General features: G+C 41.2%; 1 protein-coding gene across 3 annotated transcripts in view, besides 3 other annotated features; it reads right to left on the bottom strand.

The window, feature by feature from the left end:
• Positions 1-22,586, bottom strand: part of PDK1 (pyruvate dehydrogenase kinase 1) — a 168,940-nt gene that overhangs the window by 3,718 nt on the left and 142,636 nt on the right. The window contains exon 14 of one of the 3 annotated variants that reach the window (XR_007076394.1): positions 3,175-3,398. The exons of the other annotated variants lie outside the window; for them this stretch is intronic. The gene's annotated coding sequence lies outside the window, so the exon portion shown is untranslated. Of the gene's footprint in view, positions 1-3,174; positions 3,399-22,586 lie in introns of those variants that run through there. 3 annotated transcript variants of the gene reach the window in all.
• Positions 6,959-7,516: an enhancer, noted in NCBI's record as "H3K4me1 hESC enhancer chr2:173577807-173578364 (GRCh37/hg19 assembly coordinates)". NCBI's record gives its function as "activates a minimal SCP1, AML or CMV promoter by ChIP-STARR-seq in naive H9 embryonic stem cells {active_cell/tissue: H9 hESC(naive)}" and the evidence as "EXISTENCE:reporter gene assay evidence [ECO:0000049][PMID:30033119]".
• Positions 15,576-15,745: an enhancer, noted in NCBI's record as "experimental_56293 CRE fragment used in MPRA reporter constructs". NCBI's record gives its function as "activates a minimal promoter by MPRAs in K562 erythroleukemia cells, with activity observed for the introgressed 2:173569663 variant allele {active_cell/tissue: K562}" and the evidence as "EXISTENCE:reporter gene assay evidence [ECO:0000049][PMID:34662402]".
• Positions 20,601-20,770: an enhancer, noted in NCBI's record as "experimental_56279 CRE fragment used in MPRA reporter constructs". NCBI's record gives its function as "activates a minimal promoter by MPRAs in K562 erythroleukemia cells, with activity observed for both the introgressed and non-introgressed 2:173564638 variant alleles {active_cell/tissue: K562}" and the evidence as "EXISTENCE:reporter gene assay evidence [ECO:0000049][PMID:34662402]".

Here is a 22,586-nt window from a genome sequence, read left to right as displayed (position 1 = left end):
GGCAGTTTGGCTGCCTTGAAAAGGAGAAGTAGGATCACACAGGAACAAAACAACTGAGCTTGCAATACTGGGTAACAAGCAATAGCAGTCCATTCCTTGGGAAGATAGATCCCTTTTGTGGTGCTACAACACAGGAAAGGCTGAAAGCTGGGGGTAGAGCAGCAACATTGAGAAAATCTCAGCCAGGTGCAGTAGCTCACGCCTGTAAACCCAGAACTTTGGGAGGCCGAGGTGGGCGGATTACTTGAAGTCGGGAATTCAAGACTAGCCTGGCCAACACGGTGAAACCTCGCCTCTACTAAAAATACAAAAATTAGCCCAGTTTGGTGGCGCATGCCTGTAATCCCAGCTATCGGGGAGGCTGAGGCATGAGAATCACTTGAATCCAGGAGGCAGAGGTTGCAGTGAGCTGAGATTGTACCACTGCACACCAGCCTGGGGGACAAAGCAAGACTCTGTCTCAAAAAAAAAAAAAAAAGAGAGAGAGAGAGAGAGAGAAAAGCTCTTTGACACCCAAGCAGCAACAAAACCTGCTCAACTGCTAACTAGATAAACTCAACCCCTATACAAATAGCCTAGCAGAAGAAGAGACATGCTCATTTCCAATCATATATATTGTTTGTTTCAGCCTCTGCTGTCCTGCAAACAATGTCTGGTATTCAGTCAAAAATAATAAGACAATAAGATAGGTAAAGTAACCCACTGTCCTGAGATGAAGTGATCAACAGAACAAAACTCAGAGATGATTCAGATGCTGGAACTATCACACAAGCCATTTGAAATAACCATTAGTAATATGTTAAAGGCTCTAAATGGAGAAGGCAGACAATGTGCATGAACCAATATGGAATTTCAGCAGAGAGATGAAAACTGTAAGAAAACATATATTGGAAACTGGAAATAAACATATATTGGAAACTGGAAATAAACATATATTGGAAACATATATTGGAAATAAACATATATTGGAAACTGGAAATAAACATATATTGGAAACTGGAAATAAAGCAAGATGGGAACAAAGATAAACAAAGATTTCTTATGTATGACACCAAATAAAAACCCACTGAGACATCACTACATACCTAACAGAATGTTTAAACTTAAAAAGACCAGCTGAACCACATGATGACCAGGATGTGGAGCACTGGAACCATCATACATTGCTAATGAAAATATGAAATAATACAGCCACTTCAGAATATAGTTGGTAAGTTTTTTTTAATAAAGCTAAACATACAGTATGATCTAGCTATCCTCTCTTAACCATTTACCAAAGAGAAATAAAAACCTATTTTCAACCAAAAACCTGTACACGACTATTTATAGTGACTATTCATAACCTCCAAATGCTGGAAACAACCCAATTGTCTTTCAGCTGGTGAATGGATAAAGTGTAGTACATCTATGCAATGGAGTACTACTCAGCAGTAAAAGCATGAACTGCTGTCACATGCAGCAACGTGGATAAATCTCTAATGTATTATGCTAAATAAGAGGAAAAAGACTAGAGGAGCTATATAATGATCTAATTTTTAGTACCTTCTAGAAAAGGCCAGATTATAAAGACAGTAAATAGATCAGAGCTTGCTAAGAACTGGGGTAGAGGTTTTGACTAAAAAAAACCAATTTTGGGGGTGATGGAACTGTTCAATATCTTGAATGTAGTGGTAGTTGTACAACTTTATGCTTTTGTCCAAACTCATAGAACTGTACATTTAGAAAGGTGATTTTTAAAATATATAAACATATACTTCACAAAAATAATAAGTAAACACATAAAAAGATAAATAAAGACAGGGACTCTGGCTTCCTGACTTTTTCAATCCTCTATTATATTGCCTTACAAGAAGATGATGCTTATGGTCTATTGTATTTTGGCCCAGAACATCCCCTACCCTTTCCTAGGGCCTTCCCCATGAGACCTTGCCTTATCACCCCAAACGGAATCACTCCAGAAAATACAAACTCACTCAACATATTCTGTTTGCTAAAACAAATTCTATAAGCCTACAATATACTACATCACATTTGATTTAAAGTGTATTTAACATCAAAGACAAATTACTCTGAATGCTATATTAAAAGAACTAACTTTTTCTAAAATATATCTTACAGATCTCAATTTTTGTGAGCCACATCTAATCAATCTCTGATCATTTCAATAACATGCATATTTTTATATCTACATGAAAATGAAAATTGTAACAAAATATGGTTTCATTTTTTATGGAAGTTTTTTACTTTGCCTTCCTTTCATAATTTTGGATTTCCCCAGTTTAGGATGCTAAAGGGCAGTGAGAACATCTCTTCATTTCACTAGCTTCATTATTTCCTTCCATGAGTGTGGAATTTTACCTGTCTCAAACTAACCTGTTACCTAAAACTAAAGGCTGATTTCTCTTTTTAGAAAATACCATTTCAAATGGAATTTTTATGATTACAAATTTTACATTCTTATATTCAAATTTTTCAGCAAATTACATTCCATGTGACAAATTCCTGGTTTCTTCTACTTTTCCATTATGAATCATCTCAAAAAAAGATCAGCAGATTTCATTTACCCTTCCCCAGGAAAAGCAGGACATTCCTCTCTTCAATCTGGTAGCTCTCAGCTCTATTGGAATAACACCCTTTTTATAAAACAAATGTTTTGTAATGTTTCCTTTGCTATCTTAAAATGAAGTGTCTTACACATTACCGGATGTCTAACACCCTTAGCTCCCACCTACTAGAGGCCAGTGAGCTCCATTAATCATTTTGACAACCAAAAAAAGCCCCTCACATAGCTCTAGGTTGTCCTTGGGTAGGAGGAGAGTGGAAACACCACCATCAAGAACTACCAATTTAGGGCATATTTCCTTAATGGCAAAGCAATGTTCTACTTCAAAATACTAATAGGCTTGGAATAAAGAACAATTTATTCGGGAGGTGAGGCAGGAGAATCGCTTGAACCCAGGAGGCAGTGAGCCGACATTACGCCACTGCACTCCAGCCTGGGCAACAGAGCAAGACTCTGTCTCAAAAAAAGAAAATTAGTCCAACTTAATCAGGTATTTTAGTAACAAGTATTTTAGCCAAGGATATAGTTTAAGTAACAGGTTTAATAGGAAGCGTAGTAACTAAAGGTAGTTTATTAGTTTATCTGTTATTACACAACCAATTACCCCAACATTTAGCAGTTTAAAACAACAAGCGTTTATTATTTCACTGTTTCTGAGGGTCAGGAATCTGGAAGCAGTTTAGCCCGGTTGTTCTGGCTCGAGGTCATCCATGAGGTTTCAGTCAAGCCAGGCTGCAGCCATCTCAAGATCCATCTGGAGCTTGAGGCTCTGCTTCACTCACATGCACACAGGTTTAGTTCAGCCATACATGGGTCTCTCACAACATGGTTTCCCCTAGAGTGAGCAATGAGAGAAAAGCCGTAAGCAGTTCTTTGATAATGTAGTCTTGGATGTGAGATACCATCATTTCTGCCATATTCCATTGGCCAACCCTGGTACAATGTAGGAGGGACTCCACAGGCTGTGAATAACAGGAAGTGCAGATCACTGGGTGCCATCTTGGAGGCTGTTTACCCCAGGTAGGAATCTCTACATCTCTAAATAAATACGAGTACTCCAATCCACACTCAGGTTTTAATTTTATTGGACTGTAAGGGATTACTTCACAGAACTGAGAGAAACAGAAAACATTGATGAAGTTTTGTTCCAATTAAATAGAAACTGTTTCTTAGCAACATGAAAATATCATTTTAGTGATCTGAGGCTCAGAATCACAGTTTTTCAATGTCTATTTTTACCTCTGTATTTTAGATTTATTCAACTGCTGAATGTGAATAAAATTCCATTTAGCAATATCACAGGTAGAAGTAAATCTGAAAAACAGAATATTTGAACAAATACATATATATTAATTTTAGCAATAAGAAAATAAATTATTTATTAAGCCAGAAAATTAGGCCAACTTAGGCCTGGCACAGTGGCTCACCCCTGTAATCTCAGCACTTTGGGAGGCTGAGGCAGGCGGATCCCCTGAGGTCAGGAGTTTGAGACCAACCTGACCAACATGGTGAAACTCCATCTCTACTACAAATACAAAAATGAGCCAGGTGTGGTGGCACGTGCCTGTAATCCCAGCTATTCGGGAGGTGAGGCAGGAGAATCGCTTGAACCCAGGAGGTAGTGAGTCAAGATTACGCCACTGCACTCCAGCCTGGGCAACAGAGCAAGACTGTCTCAAAAAAAGAAAAAAAAGAAAATTAGGCCAACTTAATCAGATATTTCAGTAACAAGTATTTTAGCCAAGTATATAGAAATGGTGTAGGTTGAGAAATATGAAGGTGAATGTGTAGTCCAAGTAAACACTTAAAAAAATCAAAACCCTATTTCTGACATAGTTTTGCCTTCACATTATTAATGAGTATGCCTTCTACACATCCATCTTGATAACATTTTCAAAATCTCAAAGGCAGGACATCAACTTTGTTCATTTTTGCTAATGGATTGAAGTTTCTGAAAAACATATAAATCCTTTATAAATCTGTGGCAATTTTTCAAAGGAGGATAAAAATCATTATAATCTAATGAAATGTTCTCTGGTTCCCTAAGAATTATTAATCACAATTATGATACTCCAGATTGTGACCTGTATGTTTACTAAATACCTTAGGAAAACAGCATGATAGTTTTATTTATTTCATTTCTAGATCACTAAAAAGAATGCTTATTTGAACTCTAGCCCTTCAAAGTATCTTAAAACAAAATTTAACATTAAGATGAGTATGACCTTGTTTGAATGTTTCCATTACATTTTGATTCTTATTATACTACTTTCTTGGGAGGCAGTTCACATGTAACAATTTTCATTTTTTTCCTTATGGACATAAACTTTCACTCAAAGGTGGAAGAGCACTCATCTCCCATCATGTGTTCTTTGCCTGTGTCCCACCGGCTGTTCACTGTCCATTCTGTGAGGTTGCATTCCCATGAGGCGGGCAGTTGTCACATAACAACTCAAGCTTCTGTGAACAGTCTCTCACAGAACAGCCTGATGAACCTCCTAGGCAGGCTTTGTGTCGCTGGGCTTTCTAAAAAATTTAAGTAAACTTGAAATACATAGTGGTGGGCCTCAGAAGTCTCCACTATGGTCTTCAAACTGGAATTTGTGTGGGAGCTTTCAAAAGGGTATGTAATCTTGGATGGTTTTAAGGGACTCACTTTGCAGAGCCTCAACTTCCATAGGCTTAAATCTGAGCTGTCTGAGAACTTGGGCAAGGCATAGTGCTCCATCTCTTCCCAGTTCCTCATTCCCAGTCACCTTGACCCAACTTCTTAAAGTAAAGGCAAACCTCTCACCCATCAGGAATCCTGCTATGGGGTCTTGGCCTGGGGTGTCAGTGCCTACAGGGAAGCTGCCTTGATCAAAACACTGGTTTGTGTCTCTGCTAAGTGATTTCAAGAAAAAAGGAATACAAATTCCCCCAGTTATTCCTGCTGGTCAACATTACATTTTCAAGTATCCAGAACATATATTAGAAGTGAGTTAGTGTTGTATATTTTCTTGTACATTTATTCAGACTCATAGGGAAATTCTGTAAATAACTATTCCATAAAGATAATTAGATATAGAAAATCTATATTCATTTTTCATTTGGGTGCATTTTCTGTTTGCTCTTATCGGTTTTTATCAGTTTATTCTATCCTATAGTGTACTTATTTAGAGGCATAGTAGCTGAACAAAATTGGATGATGGATTCTACTATAAATAGTCATTAATACAACTTCTATAAGCCATACATATAAAAATGGCCAATAATTGCTTTTTGCTGTCAATTACCACAGTATCCAGTCACATTCTAGCAATAAGTAATACATATCTATTGACATATAACCTAATTTAAAAAGGAAAAAAGCTCCATTCATCTCATTAAGAGATATAGTTCTAGTAACATTTTACTTGTTATCTTTATTGATTATCAAATTTAATAATACATTTATTTGTTATATTTAATTGTATATTAATAACTGTGATAACAAAATCTAGAAGAAAATTTTACCACTCAGCTTTATCAATAAAGAAAACATACATTTTAATTTCAACATAGGCATATTTTTGATACAGAAAAGTATGGTAATATAATTAATTCTAAAAAAACTTTCAAATATAAAGAAAAAATTTTGTGGGTAAAGTTAAATGGAAATACAAGGTCAAGGGAAAACAGGAACAATGTAAATTTTCCTAATCTTAGAAGAGAGGTTGTTCATATATTTTTAAAGTTAAGATAGAGCATATAAAACTGTTCTGGTATTTAGATTATATTGTATATGTTGAAAAGAGTGATGTCATAGGTTTTTGTTAAAAAGTGTCAATATTTATATCTTTTGTTACTATTTAAACTTATGAGAAAAATTTCAGATGTTAACATAAAAATGTGTGAGAAGGCACATTGTTTTTCAAAACTATTTTAAGGAGTACGCTAGCAACAAAAAGTACTACTCTAATGAAGTGAAATAAATTAGTGGTACCAGTGTTTTGTTCCCAGATCTACTGTAAAATCAGGCATTTATTTCCATTTCTTCATCTGTCGTCTTTTCTCCAAATATAAAATGGGTATGATAACTTTCCTTGTGGCCAGAGGTGTCTGTGCAGCTCTTGTGAGGAAAAAACTTGTGTAATAGTGATGGCAGCAGTGGCCTATCTGGAAAGGCTGCTGAAAAGACACTAGCTGCAGCCAGGGCTGTGCGCTCCATGGAGCCGGGGGAGCCGGGAACAGACGGGATCCACACCCCCTTCCCAGTTGAAGGGGCGGGAACCTTGCCCTCCCGGACACAGCTGCAGCCACCCAGCTGCAGGACCTGGGCATCCCTGTGCTTCTGGAGGCCCAGGAAGTCCCCCTGTCCGCACAGGCACAGAAGTGCCTGCCCGCGTTGCCTGGCCTCTCCCTGCTCCCAGCACCCGCTCCAATTTCAAAGCAAAGTTGTGACCAAGCCCAGGTGCTGTCACAACCGGGCTGGGTGTGCACATGCTCAGGACAGTGCTGACACGCCAGCCCCCTGCCTCCTCGGCCCCCTCCAGACTTTGGGCACCAACAAGCATGAGAGAGTGGCCAAGGGGGCACTGTGGGCAGCTCGGCACGGGCCTGGAGGCATCCCTCAGCTCGAACAGCCTGGGCACCATGAACAGTGGCAGGGGGCAGACAGGCTCCTGGGCAGAAAGGAGCTAGTCCCCCATAAAACCCCACCTGAAGCCTGGGGACCAGGCTGCCAGTTCCACGGACTGGAGTGAAAACTTACAGTACTTTTTCCAAGCCCACACATGGCTGCTCATGGACCAATCAGCACATAGGTCCTCCTCTCTGAAGCCCATAAAATCCCGGACTTGGACAGATGGCAGGACGACCTCCCTGCAGAGCGGAGCTACCCACCATGAGTCTCCTCTCCAGTGAGAGCTGTACACTCTGTACAACCTGCCTGTGGATAGGAGCTACCCACTCCAGGTACTCCAGGTCTCCTCTCCACTGAGGACTGCAGAGACATCAGAAAGACCTGCCTGCAGATAGGAGCTACCCACACCAGGTCTCCTCTCTGCTGATGGCTACAGAGACATTCGGACAGCCTGCCTGCAGAAAGGAGCTACTCACTTTGGGTCTCCTGAGAGCTGAACTGCTGCTCAATAAAGCACCTCTTCACCTTGCTCACCCTGCAGTTATCTGCATACCTCATTCTTCCTGGATGTGGGACAAGAACTTGGGACCTGCTGAATGCTGGGACTGAAAGAGCTGTAACACAAACAGGCCCAAAACACACCCTCCACCCCTGCTTGCCACATTGTGGGCAACAAGGAGAGAAGAGCTGCAGCTCTTTGGGAAGCCCAGATCTAGGAGTTCCCCAAGCCACGGCTGTGACACCCTCTTTGGGGCTCTGTGGTTCCTGGTATCTCCAAGCTTCAGGTGCCACTGCATTCCCGGGTGTCCACAGTGGAAGCCGCTTGCAGTACACCTGGTCCAACCACAGCCTAGCAGGAAGCCAGCACTCATGCCGGCACCTGGAACTGCCCACCCCACCGCAGCTAGCATGCCTGGCTGTGTGCAGTGGCTGGACCCCGTGCTCGCTCACACACCCCTCACCGCCCTGTGCCTAGCTTGCCCTTGGCAGCCATGGGATCGGAGCCAGTAGCGAAAGCCAAGTGAAGCCTGCGAGGCCAAGAGAGCAGAAAGAGCCCAGCGGCCCAAGCAAAACTCGGGCAAAGGTGCCGACAGCCACAGAGGTTCCTGGCTGGTGAAGTGACAACCTAAGGATCCCATGACAACAATAATAGTAAAAGCCACATTATATGTTAAATTACTTGTGAACTATTGCAGGTTAGAAATAAAAGTACTCACTTATCTTGTTCTTTTTATATTTGTTACAATTTATTACAGGGGAAACTGAAAACCCATGGGTTCTAACAAAACAGACAATTCAGAATCTTAGAGGTTTAAGACAATAGTTTCTAACCTAGTCTTTTAAACCTATAACCTTAACAGTCTTAATATGACTCTATATGCAAATAAACGTAAATATATGTACATTATATATGTAAATATATGTAACTAATATATATGTAACATCTTTTAACAACAACAAAAATATAAGACAGATAAGAACATATTCCTAAATGTTCTATAATCTCTTCCTCTCCTTTTGAGCAAAGGGAACTCTTTTTTTTTTTTTTTTTTTTTTTTTTTTGAGCTAGGTTCTCACTCTGTTGCCCTGGCTGGAGTGCAATGGTACAATTACAGCTCACTGCAGCCTCAACCTTTCGGGCTCAAGTGATCCTCTCACCTTATCCTCCCGAGTAGCTGGGACGAAAGGCCTGCACCACCATGCCTGGCTAATTTTTTAATTTTTATGTAGAGACAGCATTTCACTATGTTGCCCAGACTGGTCTCGAGTTCCTGGACTCAAGGGATTCACCAGCCTCTGCCTCCCAAAGTTCTGGGATTACAGGTGTAAGCCACTGTACCCAGCCATAGAGAGCTGTCTTGACAGCCTTCTATAAATTTATAGATGCACAATTTGCCTGCATCCAAATTCCTATTCTCATTACCATGTGATAACTTTGGTTGCTTCCATTAAGGAATGGAAATATATTAGTTTATTCACACATTTAACCATTATTTATTAAGCATTTCCTGCGGACCTAAACTGCTTGTACTAAACTGCTGGGCAAAGAATTGTTACTTTATTTGGAAATGTAAACTGTGAGGGTGGAAGGTAGGGACAGAGTGGAAGAGGAGATTAATGCACTATCTCTGAACTAAAATAGTTTGGAAGCAGATCTGAAAGTTCTGGAAACACACTGACACACTATGGCTCTTTCTGTTGGTCACAAGAGACATCTTTATGTCACTATTAATGCTAAACATTTCTAGAAGTAAATTGTCCAGCCAGTGAGGACAATTGCTGGAATGGAATAAGAGAAGAAAATGTCAGGGGAAATTTGGCATAGTCAAAATTCCAATCTAGGCTTAAAGAGGATGCTCTCTAAGCTCTCATTTACAACCTAGGAAAAATTTTAGTTTTGCAGTGAAAGTTGGCATAGCCACCAGTTGGACTAAATAACTTCCAATGTGCTTTCCAATAATAGGCTTGTATCAGGTTACACTCAGAGCACAGAATCACATTGAGAGAATTTAGTTACGTGATGTAATTGTTTAGTGGCATGAGAGCCTTCTCCACAATGTGGATATAATGACTCACTCGACTGAGAATTAGAGCATCCTTGCTTTTGCATGGGAATGTTTTGCTTCCTCTAGGGTGGCAGCAAAGGGGTAGAGCTGAAAAGAATAAAAGGTTGAGAACTACCTGTCTGTAGCTTGACAGTCTGACAATTTCACTGATCTCTGGCACCTCCAGCAGAGGGCAGGCTGGTATAGAGAAAAGAAGGAAAACATGAATTTCTTAATTTCCTTTACAGCCAGTCCTTGCTTTGCCCAGTAGTGCAGGACCATAAAAAGGACTGTGCATGCCTAAACCATGCAAAGCAATCTTCATAACTTTCCTGACCTTTAATAATTGTTGTCAAAACATTAAAACTTTGTATATGTATAAGGAAATGTCAAAACATTAAAACTTATACATGTATAAGGAAATGAAAAAATACTAAAACTAGCATGTTATTTAGCACATTGTAATTTAAAATATAAGAAACATTGGAATGAAAGTGTTTTATTTCTTTGTGAAAAATATATTAAGAGTACTTTGAATTATGCTTTCAGTCTTCTTGTTGCAGAACTCATGGTAGGAAACAAGCATCTTTCACATGTCTCAGCTGATTGTCATACTCCTTTGTGAATTTGGATCAGCTTCCAACATGTTACCCTTTGCATTTTGGATGTGGTGAAGTATCTCTAAGAGTGCCTTTACCGTGAAAGTTTTTTCCAGCATCGCTTCCTCTGGCACACCTTCATCCATTTCCTCACAGCCACTTTCGTCACTTACGTCATGAGTTCACCTGCACTAAGTTCCCCTGGCTGCATACCCAGAATCTCTCCAGTGGTAGCAGGGTCAACATTCCCAGGGTCAGCGATTTCCTCTATAACTTCATTATGTTCACTTCAAATTTCATTTGCAGTATTATCACTTTTTTTTTCTTTACTGCAATTTCGTCTTTGTTGGCAAACTGTCTTTTTCAGTTATTCATTTTTGTAAAATGTCATGTGGGTTTATCACTGAGCGATAAGAAGACCATACTACCATTGCTGTCCATCACTGAATTGAATAACAGATGCACCGTGACCCATCAGGAACAGACTGGAAGAAGTGATGTGATCAGTTGCTGATCATTGATGCATATCCGTTATTTACATAGTGACTTGTGAACTAAGAGCTAGCAGCAAAGTTGGCACTTTATGCAATTTCTCACAGTTAGTATGCCATGGTAACTGAAATTTGAATTGTGCCGTTGGGTGACTGCTGTTATTTAACTGAATGGTGGTAACTGAAATTGATACACAATGTAACCATTCGAGCAAGGACTACCTGTATTTTCCACATCCACCCTCACAAAGAATGTATGAAAAGTTTGCTGAAATTAAGCAAGAATTAGCTTCAAGACTGACAGCAAACTTATTTGGGATGAGCGTTGCCTTTCCTTTTCCCTAACAGAACTAACTTCATTTCTTTTTTCAACAAAACATATTGATGGGTCATTTGGTAGGTGGACTCACTTAGCACTCAGGGATGACTTTGATGAAATACAAGAATATATATTTCTCTGAATAAGAAAAATAAGATGTTTGAGTTTTTGAAATAGTGAGGGGCTGAGGAACTGAGAGGAGCTGAAATAGCTGAAAGCAAGTTGTGAGGAGAGATGGTCCCACAAGACGAGAGGCTAGGACTCCAGGAGAAAAGATGGCTTAGGGTGGTGGTGGTAGTAGATGTATTGTTTTATCCATCTACTGTTTTTTAAATACCCTTAACTATTTTCCAATTAATTTTTATTTTATGACATCATTATACCTGCAAAGGTTTAAAAACATAGTGCTAAATGGCTACAAAAAAAAGAGAGAGAGAGAGAAACAACAAATCTCTTTATCAGCTGTCTTTTTGTCCCATCTCTGACTGCAGCTATCAATTACAGGTTGAGCATACCTAATCTGAAAATCCAAAGTGCAAAATGTTCCAAAATCTGAAACTTGCTGAACACCAACATGATGCCACAGACGGAAAGTTCCATACCTGACCTCATGCGATGGGTCCCAGTCAAAACACAGGTGGACAACACTAGTTTATTCAGCATTCCCAAGGGAAAAATGAAATTACCTTCAGCCTATATGTATAAGGTGAATATGAAACATAAATAAATTTTGTGTTTAGACTTGGGTCCCATCCCTAGGGTTTTTCATATTATATATATGTACAAATACTTCGAAATCAAAAAAATCTGAAGTCCAAAACACTTCTGATCCCAAGCCTTTCAGATAAGGAATACTCAACCTGTATCAATTATTTTGGCTGTTTTTCCCAGGATTTATTTCCATATTTCCCAATGATATATGTATACTGCTATTTCTTAATTTATCTTTTTTGTCATTATTTCGTGAGAAACTATTAAAATAGTTGATGATTTAACTCTCTTAAACCAAGCCACACATGTGCTTGCACACTCCTCTTGCTACTATCCTCCCCCTACAGTTAAAGCAATTATAGTATTATGACAATTTAAATATCAACAAAAACCAAGTTTTTGTTTTCCTTAGAGTTACTAGCAACCATAGTTTTAATTTAATTATCTATCACTAAATCCTGTTGGCAATTTTTCTTTTTTTTTTTTCACTCTGTCGCCCAGGCTGGACTGCAGTGGCACAATTATTGCTCATTGCAGCCTCTACCACCCAGGCTCAGGTGATCCTCCCACCTCATCCTCCCGAATAGCTGGGACTACAGGTGCACTATGCCCAGCTAATTTTTTGTAGAGACAGGGTTTCACCATGTTTCCCAGGCTGGTCTTGAACTCCTGGACTCAAGCAATCTACTCACCTCGACCTCTAAAACTGCTGAGATACAGGTGTGAGCCACCACGCCTGGCTGGTCATTTTTCTAAATGGTTTTATCCTCCATGTATTCCCCACTCCCTAAGCACTCTGCTTCCCTCCTCCACAGTTCTTATATACTGGTTGGAGAATTGTCATAGTTAGTATAATGTGGATTTGTAAATTCCATTTTTCTGTGGAAACTTTAGAACTTTAAGCAAACATTTCTATTTTCTAACAAATGAAGATCCCTACAACAAATGTGTGGTCCCTAGTTATAAGTCAATGGTTTTCAGAAAATAACTATTAACACACAATTCTCAAGACTTTTGTTTCTGGGAAGATGGAGTAGACATACTTTTCCCTATTCCTCCCTCTATGTATAACCCAAAACCTTGAACATTATATATAAAACGAACATAAGATTCTGAAAGGTGGAGTGAAGAAGACAGACTGGTCAGGGACCTCAGGACCCAGGGAATGACACAGCTGTGAGTTCCCGGGTTTTGCTTTAGTCTTGTATATCCCAGACCTGGAGCTGTCGAAGCTGGCAGCCTGGAAGCACCAAGGAGTCCCGTGCAGACAATAAATGCCCAACAAACCTCTGCTCTCTAGCCAGAGGACTAGGAAAGGGGTACCCTGGCAAATCAGAAAACTTTCAGACGATTTCCACTCTAGCCTAGTCAAACATCCTAGACAAACTGTGGTCCCACTCCCGCCCATGCCAGCCCAAGTCTGCTGGGGAGCCTAGACTTCCAACCACACCAGGCTGTAATGACAAAGTGCCCCAACCTTCCTCCCGCTCCCAGGGTGGAATCTGAGGAGACCAAGTACAGATCAGGACTTTCATCCCTGACAGGTGATAAGGAAGTCCCCACACCCTGTGGTAGCAGTGGAGACCACATAGGGAACCCAGACTTGGACTCACATCCAGAAAAACAAAGCCTCCCTACCCTTCCCTGCTGGTGGGGTATCAGAGGAGGCCTACCAGAGAGTCAGAACTTCTGCCCGTGCCCAGTGGAAACAACGCCACCTCCCACCCCCATGGTGTCAATGGAGGCCACAAAGGAAGCAGTAACTCCCTCCTAGCTGGTGGTGTCAGTGGAGGCGGAGTGGGGAGCTGGAACTCCCACCTCACCCAGCAGGAACAAGGAGACCCTCCCCCTGGATGATGTGGATGAAAGCTGAGAGGGAAGCCTGGAATGTTACCCTCACTGGCCAGTAATGGAGTGGCTTTCCTCCCCACCTGCCCTGTCAAAGAGGTACCAAAAGACTGCTAAGACAGAAAGCTCAAATAAGTGCCAGAGGCACAAACAGAATACCCCAAAAGGATGAGAAAAGACAATTGAAGCCCAGCGTGGGTGCTCACATCTGTAATCCCAGCACTTTGGGAGGCTGAGGCGGGCAGATCACTTGAGCCCAGAAGTTTGAGACCAGCCTGGGCAACATAGTGAGACCCTGTTCCTATAAAAACACAAACACCAATTAGCCAGGCATGGTGGCACATGCCCATGGTCCCAGCTACTCTGCATACTGAAGTGGGAGGATCACCTGAGCCTGACAAGGTCAAGGCTGCAGTGAGCCGAGATTGTGCCACTGCACTCCGGCCTGGGCAACAGAGCTAGACCCTGTCTCAAAGAAAAAAAAAAAAAAGACAATTGACAGACACCAACACCAAGATCAGGATGACAGAGATGTTGGAATTGTCTGACAAAGATTTTAAAGTAATCATCATAAAAATGTTACAATAAGCAATTACAAACACACTAGAAACGAATCACCAATAATTCCTCTGACTGAAAAAAAAAAAGGCAATCCTAAAAGGTTTTACACTGTAGCCTTGTATCAATTCCATTGAAAGGACATCTTGAAATAACAAAATTGTAGAAATGGAGGACAGATTCACAGTTGCAAAAGGTTAAGTAGTAAGGAGGGACAAGGGTGTGGATATTACCAAGCCACATGAGAGATCTTTGTGATGACAGAAATGTTCTTTATCTTGACTGTGTCAACCTTAATATCCTGATTGTGATAACTGACATACTATAGATCTTACCACTGGGGGAAACTGGGTAAAGGGTGAGTGGGGTCTCTCTGTATTATTTCTTACAACTGCATGAGAATCTACAGCCTTCTTCCTCTCAAAGTAAAACATTTATTTGAAAACCTCACAATTCTCAATACTACAAGTAAGTTCTGTGCCCTTTTCTGTAAACAGATTTAGAAACTCAAGTTTACAAAGGCAAAATACAGAATAAGTATATTTAACTTAAACTATAGAGCAACTGTTTTGTAAATATTCTTTATTCTTCCTTTTCAAACAGAGGGTAATGGTTAATCCCATCCTTAACATTTGCAAAGTTACTTGTATAAATAGTTTTTTCATTCAATATTTCTTATTAAGCATGATTAAAACTGACAGTCTGATACAACCATCATTTAAATTGAGTGAAGATTAACTCTAAGTATTAGAGGCTTATGACAATTTTACTCCACATCACAACTGAGTACAAGCCTGAGTCAAACTGAGTAATAGATCTTTCAGAAAGCCTGGATTATGGTAAAGCGAAACATACAGTGGCAGGACCTGTACTTAGGTGACAGTAATAAGATAGGGCAGAATAGAGAGAGTTTCACTCAAAGATTCCCAGGGTTGGGCAAACACCAGAGATTTGCGTAGACTTAAAATGTCAAGAATTAATGATGCAAAAGGCTGGACACTCAGAAATTCCTATAGGAATCATTCTGTAAGAAGATCAATCTATAGGAAGAAAGGGACTGTTGGACCTTAAATGTTTTAGCAAAATTTTCAAGGCAAATCCTTGGACTTTGGATACTTTTGTGGGTATTTTTGAAGGATACATCCCTACAGTTAGACTTGCATTAAATTTTGTACATTTTTTTGTACATTTTATACAAAATTTAATAGATATGGATAAATCTGCCCGCTCAAAGTGTATCAACCATTAACTCACAACAGTATATGAGATGGTCAGTTTCCTCACTGCCTATTTAAATATTCACATTTTAATCTTTCTTTTCTGATTACTGAGTCCTATAAAGTTTTCCACCTTTTTTGCTGGCCTTTGTTTTCTCTGTTTGTTAGAAGCAGATCCTGGCATTTGTGTTCTTCTTTGAGCTTGTAGAACTGATGTGATTTCCAATTCTTTGTATTCGGTTGATATTGGGACTCCATAACTTTTTACCTCAAGAGTACGGGGAAAAGTTTCTAGAACTTCCTTGTTCAATCCTGGCTACAGTTCTATGTGACCATTTCTTCACTTAGCCTCCCAAAGTGGGAGACAGATGAGGGAGAGCGTCTGTCTACACAGGGTTGTAATTTTATACACATATATGGCTTTTGGTTGTTTCCCCATACCTTATCAGGTGGGTACGTGCTAAAATAAAGCACATAAGCATCTGGGTTTTTGTGATGCTGAGCATGGCATTTTTAAAGACTGTGGTGCTTTGGATGTGGGCTCAAGAGTATACCCTGGCTCTCACACTCTGTAGAACCTGTCGAAATTGATCCTTCCTTAATACTGCCCTCTTGTGGGCTCTCCTGAAAATACTACTTCCCTTTACAGAGATTGTAAACCTTGGCATTCCCTGTGATTCTCAATGTACCCCTTAAGCTGCCCTGTATTCTGAGAAGAAATGAGAAAGTAATCCCTTTCACCCCAACTCAGTCATTCTGACACATGGACCCCAACTGTCACAAAACCCCGACTGAAAACAGCCCCTTTTCATACTGTCAGCTGCCCTTCTTTCACTAGAAGACAGAGTCCCTGGGAGCCCTGTGGGAAGGAGACACCACTTCGCTGTGGGAAGTCTCACCATCGCTGTCGTGCCAGGAGCCGTTGGAGTGTCCCCTTCTCTAAAGCCATGTCAAGCACAGTAAGAATAAATAGAGGGGAAGTGGAACCGTGAGAACATGCTCTTAAACCCTATTTTACAGTATTCCTTTGTTAAATGAAATGAAAGCAATTACAAGAGAAAAAGTAGGCCGGGCACGGTGGCTCACACGTGTAATCCCAGCACTTTGGGAGGCTGAGGCGGGTGGATCACTTGAGGTCAGGAGTTCGAGACCAGCCTAGCTAACATGGTGAAACCCTGTCTCTACTAAAAATACAAAAAATTAGCCAGGTGTGGTGGCACGTGCCTGTAATCCCAGGTACTCAGGAGGATGAGGCAGGAGAATCACTTGAACTTGGGAGGCAGAGGTTGCGGTGAGCTGAGATCGCACAACTGCATGCCAGCCTGGCTGGGCGATAGAGCGAGACTCTATCAAAAAAAAAAAAAAAAAAAAAAGAAAGAAAGAAAGAAAAAGAAAAAAAGGAAAAAGAAAGAGTGATGAAAACTTACATAAAAACACAAAGTGTGAGGAGTTAGAAGTCAGTAAAAGATCTTTAAATACCATCCTATCTAAGATGACTTCCTGGCTTCCCTCGGCTAAAATTAATTTCTCCCTCTCCCATATTTTCTTTGATTTTTTATTTTAATTTTAGCACCTGCTTATTATTGTCGGGTTGGGTCAGAATTACTTATGATAGCAGATTGTGAGTCTCTGAAGGACAGGGACTCAAGGCTTTGAACCTGTCAGGTGTCTTATGGTATTTAATTAAATAAGATAGGAAAATGATATAAAAATGGCTTTGATGGAAACAATCTAGGTATGTTTTCTGTGGCTGCAGTAACAAATTACTAGAAACTCGGTGGCTTAAAACCACAAAAATATATTATCTCACAGTCCTGGGGGCCAGAGGTCCAAAATCAGTATCACTGGGCTGAAATCAAGGTGTCGACTGTATTGTACTCCTTCAAAGGATTTAGAGGAGAATCTGTTGCTTGACTCTTTCAACTCAACTCCCAGTGGTTGCCGGCTTCCCTTGCCTTGTGGCTGCAGCACTCTCACCTTCGCCTCTGTCTTCATATTGCCTTCTCCTCTGCATGTGTGTGCAAAATCTCCCTCTGTTTCTCTCTCATAAGGATGCTTGGGATGGCATTCAGGTCACACCCAAGTAATCTGGCACAGTCTTCCCCATCTCAGGCTCCTTGATTTAATCACACATGCAAAAATATTTTTTTTCCTTATAAGGTAACATTTAAAGTTTCCAGGAATTAGGAACTGATATTTTGGGGGGACACACTTTTCGTCTCACTACAGTCTACAATGAGATGGAATAAACCATAAAATCAGCGTACACAGAAAAGGTATTGCCAAGAGAATATGGGCAGGGTACCAGTGGTTTTGCCCTCAATCATGGTGATCTAGATAATTCCAACCATCCATCCTAGTGAGAGCAGCTAGTAAAGCTGAATACAATTTTTTTAAAAATCTGTTTGCATTCAAATCAGTGAAAGATTATAGGGCCAAAATCCAAAAGAAGGAGGAAACCTAGAGAGATGAGCCCAGCATTTTTGGCTGCTTTGCTCTTGGAAGCATCTGCCAATTTAAAAAAAAAAAAAAAAAGGCAGTTAGGAGGCAGAGAAGCTGAACAGAGCTTTTGGTAGATTAATGGGGTAAGCGAGACAATTGTAGTTCAGGGTCTAACAATGAAAGAGGCCCTGGCAAATCCCTCTGTCTTTTTTTTTTTTTTTTAAACAAAGTCTCACTCTGTTGCCCAGGCTGGAGTGCAATGGCACGATCTCGGCTCACTACAACCTCCACCTCCTGGTTTCAAGCAATTCTTCTGCCCCAGCCTCCCGAGTAGCTGGGATTACAGGCATCCGCCATCATGCGCCGCTAATTTTTTGTATTTTTGTAGAGACAGGGTTTCACCATCTTGGCCAGGCTGGTCTTGAATTCCTGACCTCAGGTAATCTGCCCGCTTCGGCCTCCCAAAGTGCTGGGATTACAGGCATGAACCACTGCGCCCGGCCATCCCTCTGTCTTTAGGTTGGAACCCACAAGCAATGCACCCTAGGAACAGAGGTGAATTAAAGTAAGCCAGTCGTCTTTGAGTCATCCCAGTCCTTCACTTAAATCAAATTCACTTGTATTACCAGCGCCCCTAACCTAGTCCTTGACCTTAAGCACATGTAAATCCTTTTTGGAGGAAGATAACATATCCAGTGAAAATATTTTCAAAATTAAGAAGAAATAGTAACATTGTCAACAAATCAACACTAAGAATATTGTCACCAGAAGATATATACTAAACGCAATACTAAAGGGAATCCTTCAGGCAAAGTGTATTCAGCTAAAACAGACATATGTAAGTACATCTAAATGAACTGTCTCTTAAAATAATAAGCATTTCTAGAGGTAAAAAGGAACATCTCATAACAATAAGGAGCTCAGTTCACCAAGAACATAGAACTATTCTAAATGTGCATGTATCTAATGATAGACTCAAAATATGTAAAGCAAAATTAACAGAACTAGAAGTAGAAATAGAACCCTCATGTTCCAAAAAAAAAAAAAAACAAAACAAAAAAAAAAACAGGATAAACTAGTTAGCAGCTCTTTTGGACTCACAGACTCTGAAAAGAGAAAACCACAGACTGCTCCAACAAGTAGCCTTACCCATGTACCAAACAAGTTATCCTGGGTACCTGGGCTTACAAATCTTCACCAGTTCTTGCCCAGATTCTAACTCTGACTCCTGCATCAACCATCCCATGACTAACTCCACTCCAACAAACTTTATAAAACCCAAATACTCAGGCGACTCAGGGAATTCATTTGACTGATTCATTTGGACAGTTGCCCATTGTCTGAGAAGTTTTCATTAAGCTCAGCTTATTGTTGTTTTTAATCAAAACATAGTATCTGTTTTTATCAAGACAACCTTTTGTGATGACTTTGACACACAAATGTGGATAGAAATATCAGAAGAAACAACAATAACAGAGCAGATAGTGCTTGTGTCTGGGAAGCAGAATTTGGTGGGTGAGGAAGATGGAACAAGTGGCCGATTTTGTTGTTGTTGTTGTCATAAGCCATGACTTCTAACACCATGTGCATCTATTACTTTGTACAAATAAAAATTAAATTAAGAAAAAGAGCTCTCCCTCTCCCTCTTCTCCCTCCTCTCCCTCCTCTCCTCCTCTCCTCCCTCTCCCTCTCCCTCTCCCCTTTGCACGGTCTCCCTCTGATGCCAAGCCGAGGCTGGACTGTACTGCCGCCATCTGGACTCACTGCAACCTCCCTGCCTGATTCTCCTGCCTCGGCATGCGGAGTGCCTGGGATTGCAGGCGTGCGCCGCCATGCCTGACTGGTTTTTATATTTTTTGGTGGAGACGGGTTTTTGCCGTGTTGGCCAGGCTGGTCTCCAGCTCCTGACCGCGAGTGATCTGCCAGCCTCGGCCTCCCAAGGTGCTGGGATTGCAAATGGAGTCTCGCTCACTCAGTGCTCAATGTTGCCCAGGCTGGAGTGCAGTGGCGTGATCTCTGCCCGCTACAACCTCCACCTCCCAGCCGCCTGCCTTAGCCTCCCAAAGTGCCGAGATTGTAGCCTCTACCTGGCCGCCACCCCGTCTAAGAAGTGAGGAGCGTCTCTGCCCGGCCGCCCATCGTCTGGGATGAGAGGAGCCTCTCTGCCTGGCCGCCCAGTCTGGGAAGTGAGGAGCACCTCTTCCCGGCCGTCATCCTGTCTAGGAAGTGAGGAGCGTCTCTGCCCTGCCGCCCATCGTCTGGGATGTGGGGAGCGCCTCTGCCTGGCCACGACCCCGTCTGGGAACTGAGGAGTGTCTCTGCCCCGCCGCCACCCCGTCCAGGAGGTGGGGGGCGCCTCTGCCCGGCCGCCCCGTCTGGGAAGTGAGGAGCCCCTCTGCCCGGCCGCCACCCCGTCTGGGAGGTGTACCCAACAGCTCATTGAGAACGGGCCATGATGACGATGGCGGTTTTGTCGAATAGAAAGGGGGGAAGTGTGGGGAAAAGAAAGAGAGATGGGATTGTTACTGTGTCTGTGTGGAAAGAAGTAGACATAGGAGACTCCATTTTGTTCTGTACTAAGAAAAATTCTTCTGCCTTGGGATGCTGTTAATCTATGGCCTTGCCCCCAGCCCCGTGCTCTCTGAAACATGTGCTGTGTCCACTAAGGGTTAAATGGATTAAGGGCGGTGCAAGATGTGCTTTGTTAAACAGATGCTTGAAGGCAGCATGCTTGTTAAGAGTCATCACCACTCTCTAATCTGAGGTACCCAGGGACACAAACAGTTCGGAAGGCGGCAGGGCCCTCTGCCTAGGAAAACCAGAGACCTTTGTTCACATGTTTATCTGCTGACCTTCCCTCCACTGTTGTCCTGTGACCCTGCCAAATCCCCCTCTACGAGAAACACCCAAGGATGATAATAAATACTAAAAAAAAAATAATAATAAAAAAAGAAAAAGAAAAAGAAAAAAAGCACATTTAGTTCTTCTGAAATAGAGCAATAATTTTCACTTAAATTGGTAAATATTTGTGGAGCATCTATTCTGTGCCAAGTGCTATGCTAGACAGCAGGAAAAGAAACCTGAAAAGACTGAAGTCTAGTCTGAAAATCGGTCGCAATTACCTGAGTCCCACAGAGACTGAGTGGTCTTATGCAATAACAATCCAGTGCACTACTTTTAACTTTTACAATCTGAACAGTAAAAAAAAAAAAAAAAAAAGTCAGATGAGGTCTGTACTCAAAATCAGGTGTCTTCAAAAAAAATATGAACGATTCAGTTGACTACTTGCAGGGACGGAAGAGTTTGTTTCCAAGCACAAACTAACTTACAGCTCAGCTTCGCTGAGAAGCTCTAGTTTTACTCAGTTGAGGTTTCCTGATAATTATTCTCTTGATAAGGAATATGTTTTCCATGCCATTTATTATGTTTTTGCTGTGCTCAAATGCTGCAAATTTTTATTCTCTCATAGAAAATAGCACATTCATCTTGCCATAAAAAATAGCGTAATTAAATTTCTAGCCACCCAGTTGTAGCAACTAGAAATGAAAGTTTGCTATTATTATGGCTATAATAATTCTTTAATATTTGACTAACAATAGATTCTGGGGACATGAGACATATGTTAATGTGCTTTTGAAATATTTTAAATGCTGCTTAAATATTAAAACATGCATTCTTCACATAAAATACCAAACGTATAGGGGAGATTTTGAGTCAAGGCACTCTCCTTAAATCTCACCCCCCTTTGCATCTCTGGCATCAGCTTCTCTTACTGTAATGGTTCTCATCCTAGCAGCACATAAAAATCACCTGAGGAGCTTCTAAGAAACAAAAAACACCAGTACCTGAGACTCTCCTGCAAGAGATTCTCATTTACTTGGTCTTGGGAGGCCCTGGGCATGCGTGTTGTTTAATACCTCCTCACGTGGTTCTAATGTGTAGTCAAGGTTGAGGACCATTGCCTAAAACAGTAGTTCTCAGTGTGGTTCCTAGACCAGCTTCAGCGTCACCTGGGAATTTGTTACCCATGTGAATGCTGAGGCTTCCCACAGCCCTCCAGAATCAGAAGTTCTGGGGGTGGAGCCCAGTCACCTCTGTTTTAACAAGCCCTTCAGATAGCTGTGGTGCACACTCAAGTTCCAACCATTAGGCTTAGAAGAATATAACAGGAATTTTCAAGAGAATGCAGTTAACACATGACAGGGAATATAGGTAGGTGGACTTTCTTCCTGAGGGGTAGGAGGCTCTGTAGTAGTTTGGGTGGAAGACCAGACGTTGCTGAGGAAGGTGCTTTTCTTTTATGATCAGCTTACCCAGGATGAGTCATACCATGGTGAAGTGAGTCACACTTACAAACCAGCCCAAACTTATGCTATATTTTCTTGCATGAGAAGAGGGAGATTCTTGGTGGAGAGAAAGGAAGGGGCAGGAAAATGCTCAGAAGTCTAGAGAGCATGAAAATTAGAAACTCTAAATATTTGGTAGAACAAAGTGGGGGATGATTCATGCATACCTCCATGTAGATACACAAAACCAGAATGCAAAATTAAACTGGTTTTAGGAAGTATTTCATCTCGCCCTCTAGGCTGATGCTGATGACTTTTATCTCTGCCATAAAAATTACACAGTAGACTGGGATTTCTTTCAGGAAGATGGGTGGCCATCTCATTGTGGGATTGTACTTCAGAA

Source organism: Homo sapiens, chromosome 2, assembly GCF_000001405.40.
Source record: "Homo sapiens chromosome 2, GRCh38.p14 Primary Assembly".
NCBI classification, from domain to species: Eukaryota; Metazoa; Chordata; class Mammalia; order Primates; family Hominidae; genus Homo; species Homo sapiens.
This window is presented reverse-complemented; position numbering and strand designations above follow the sequence as displayed.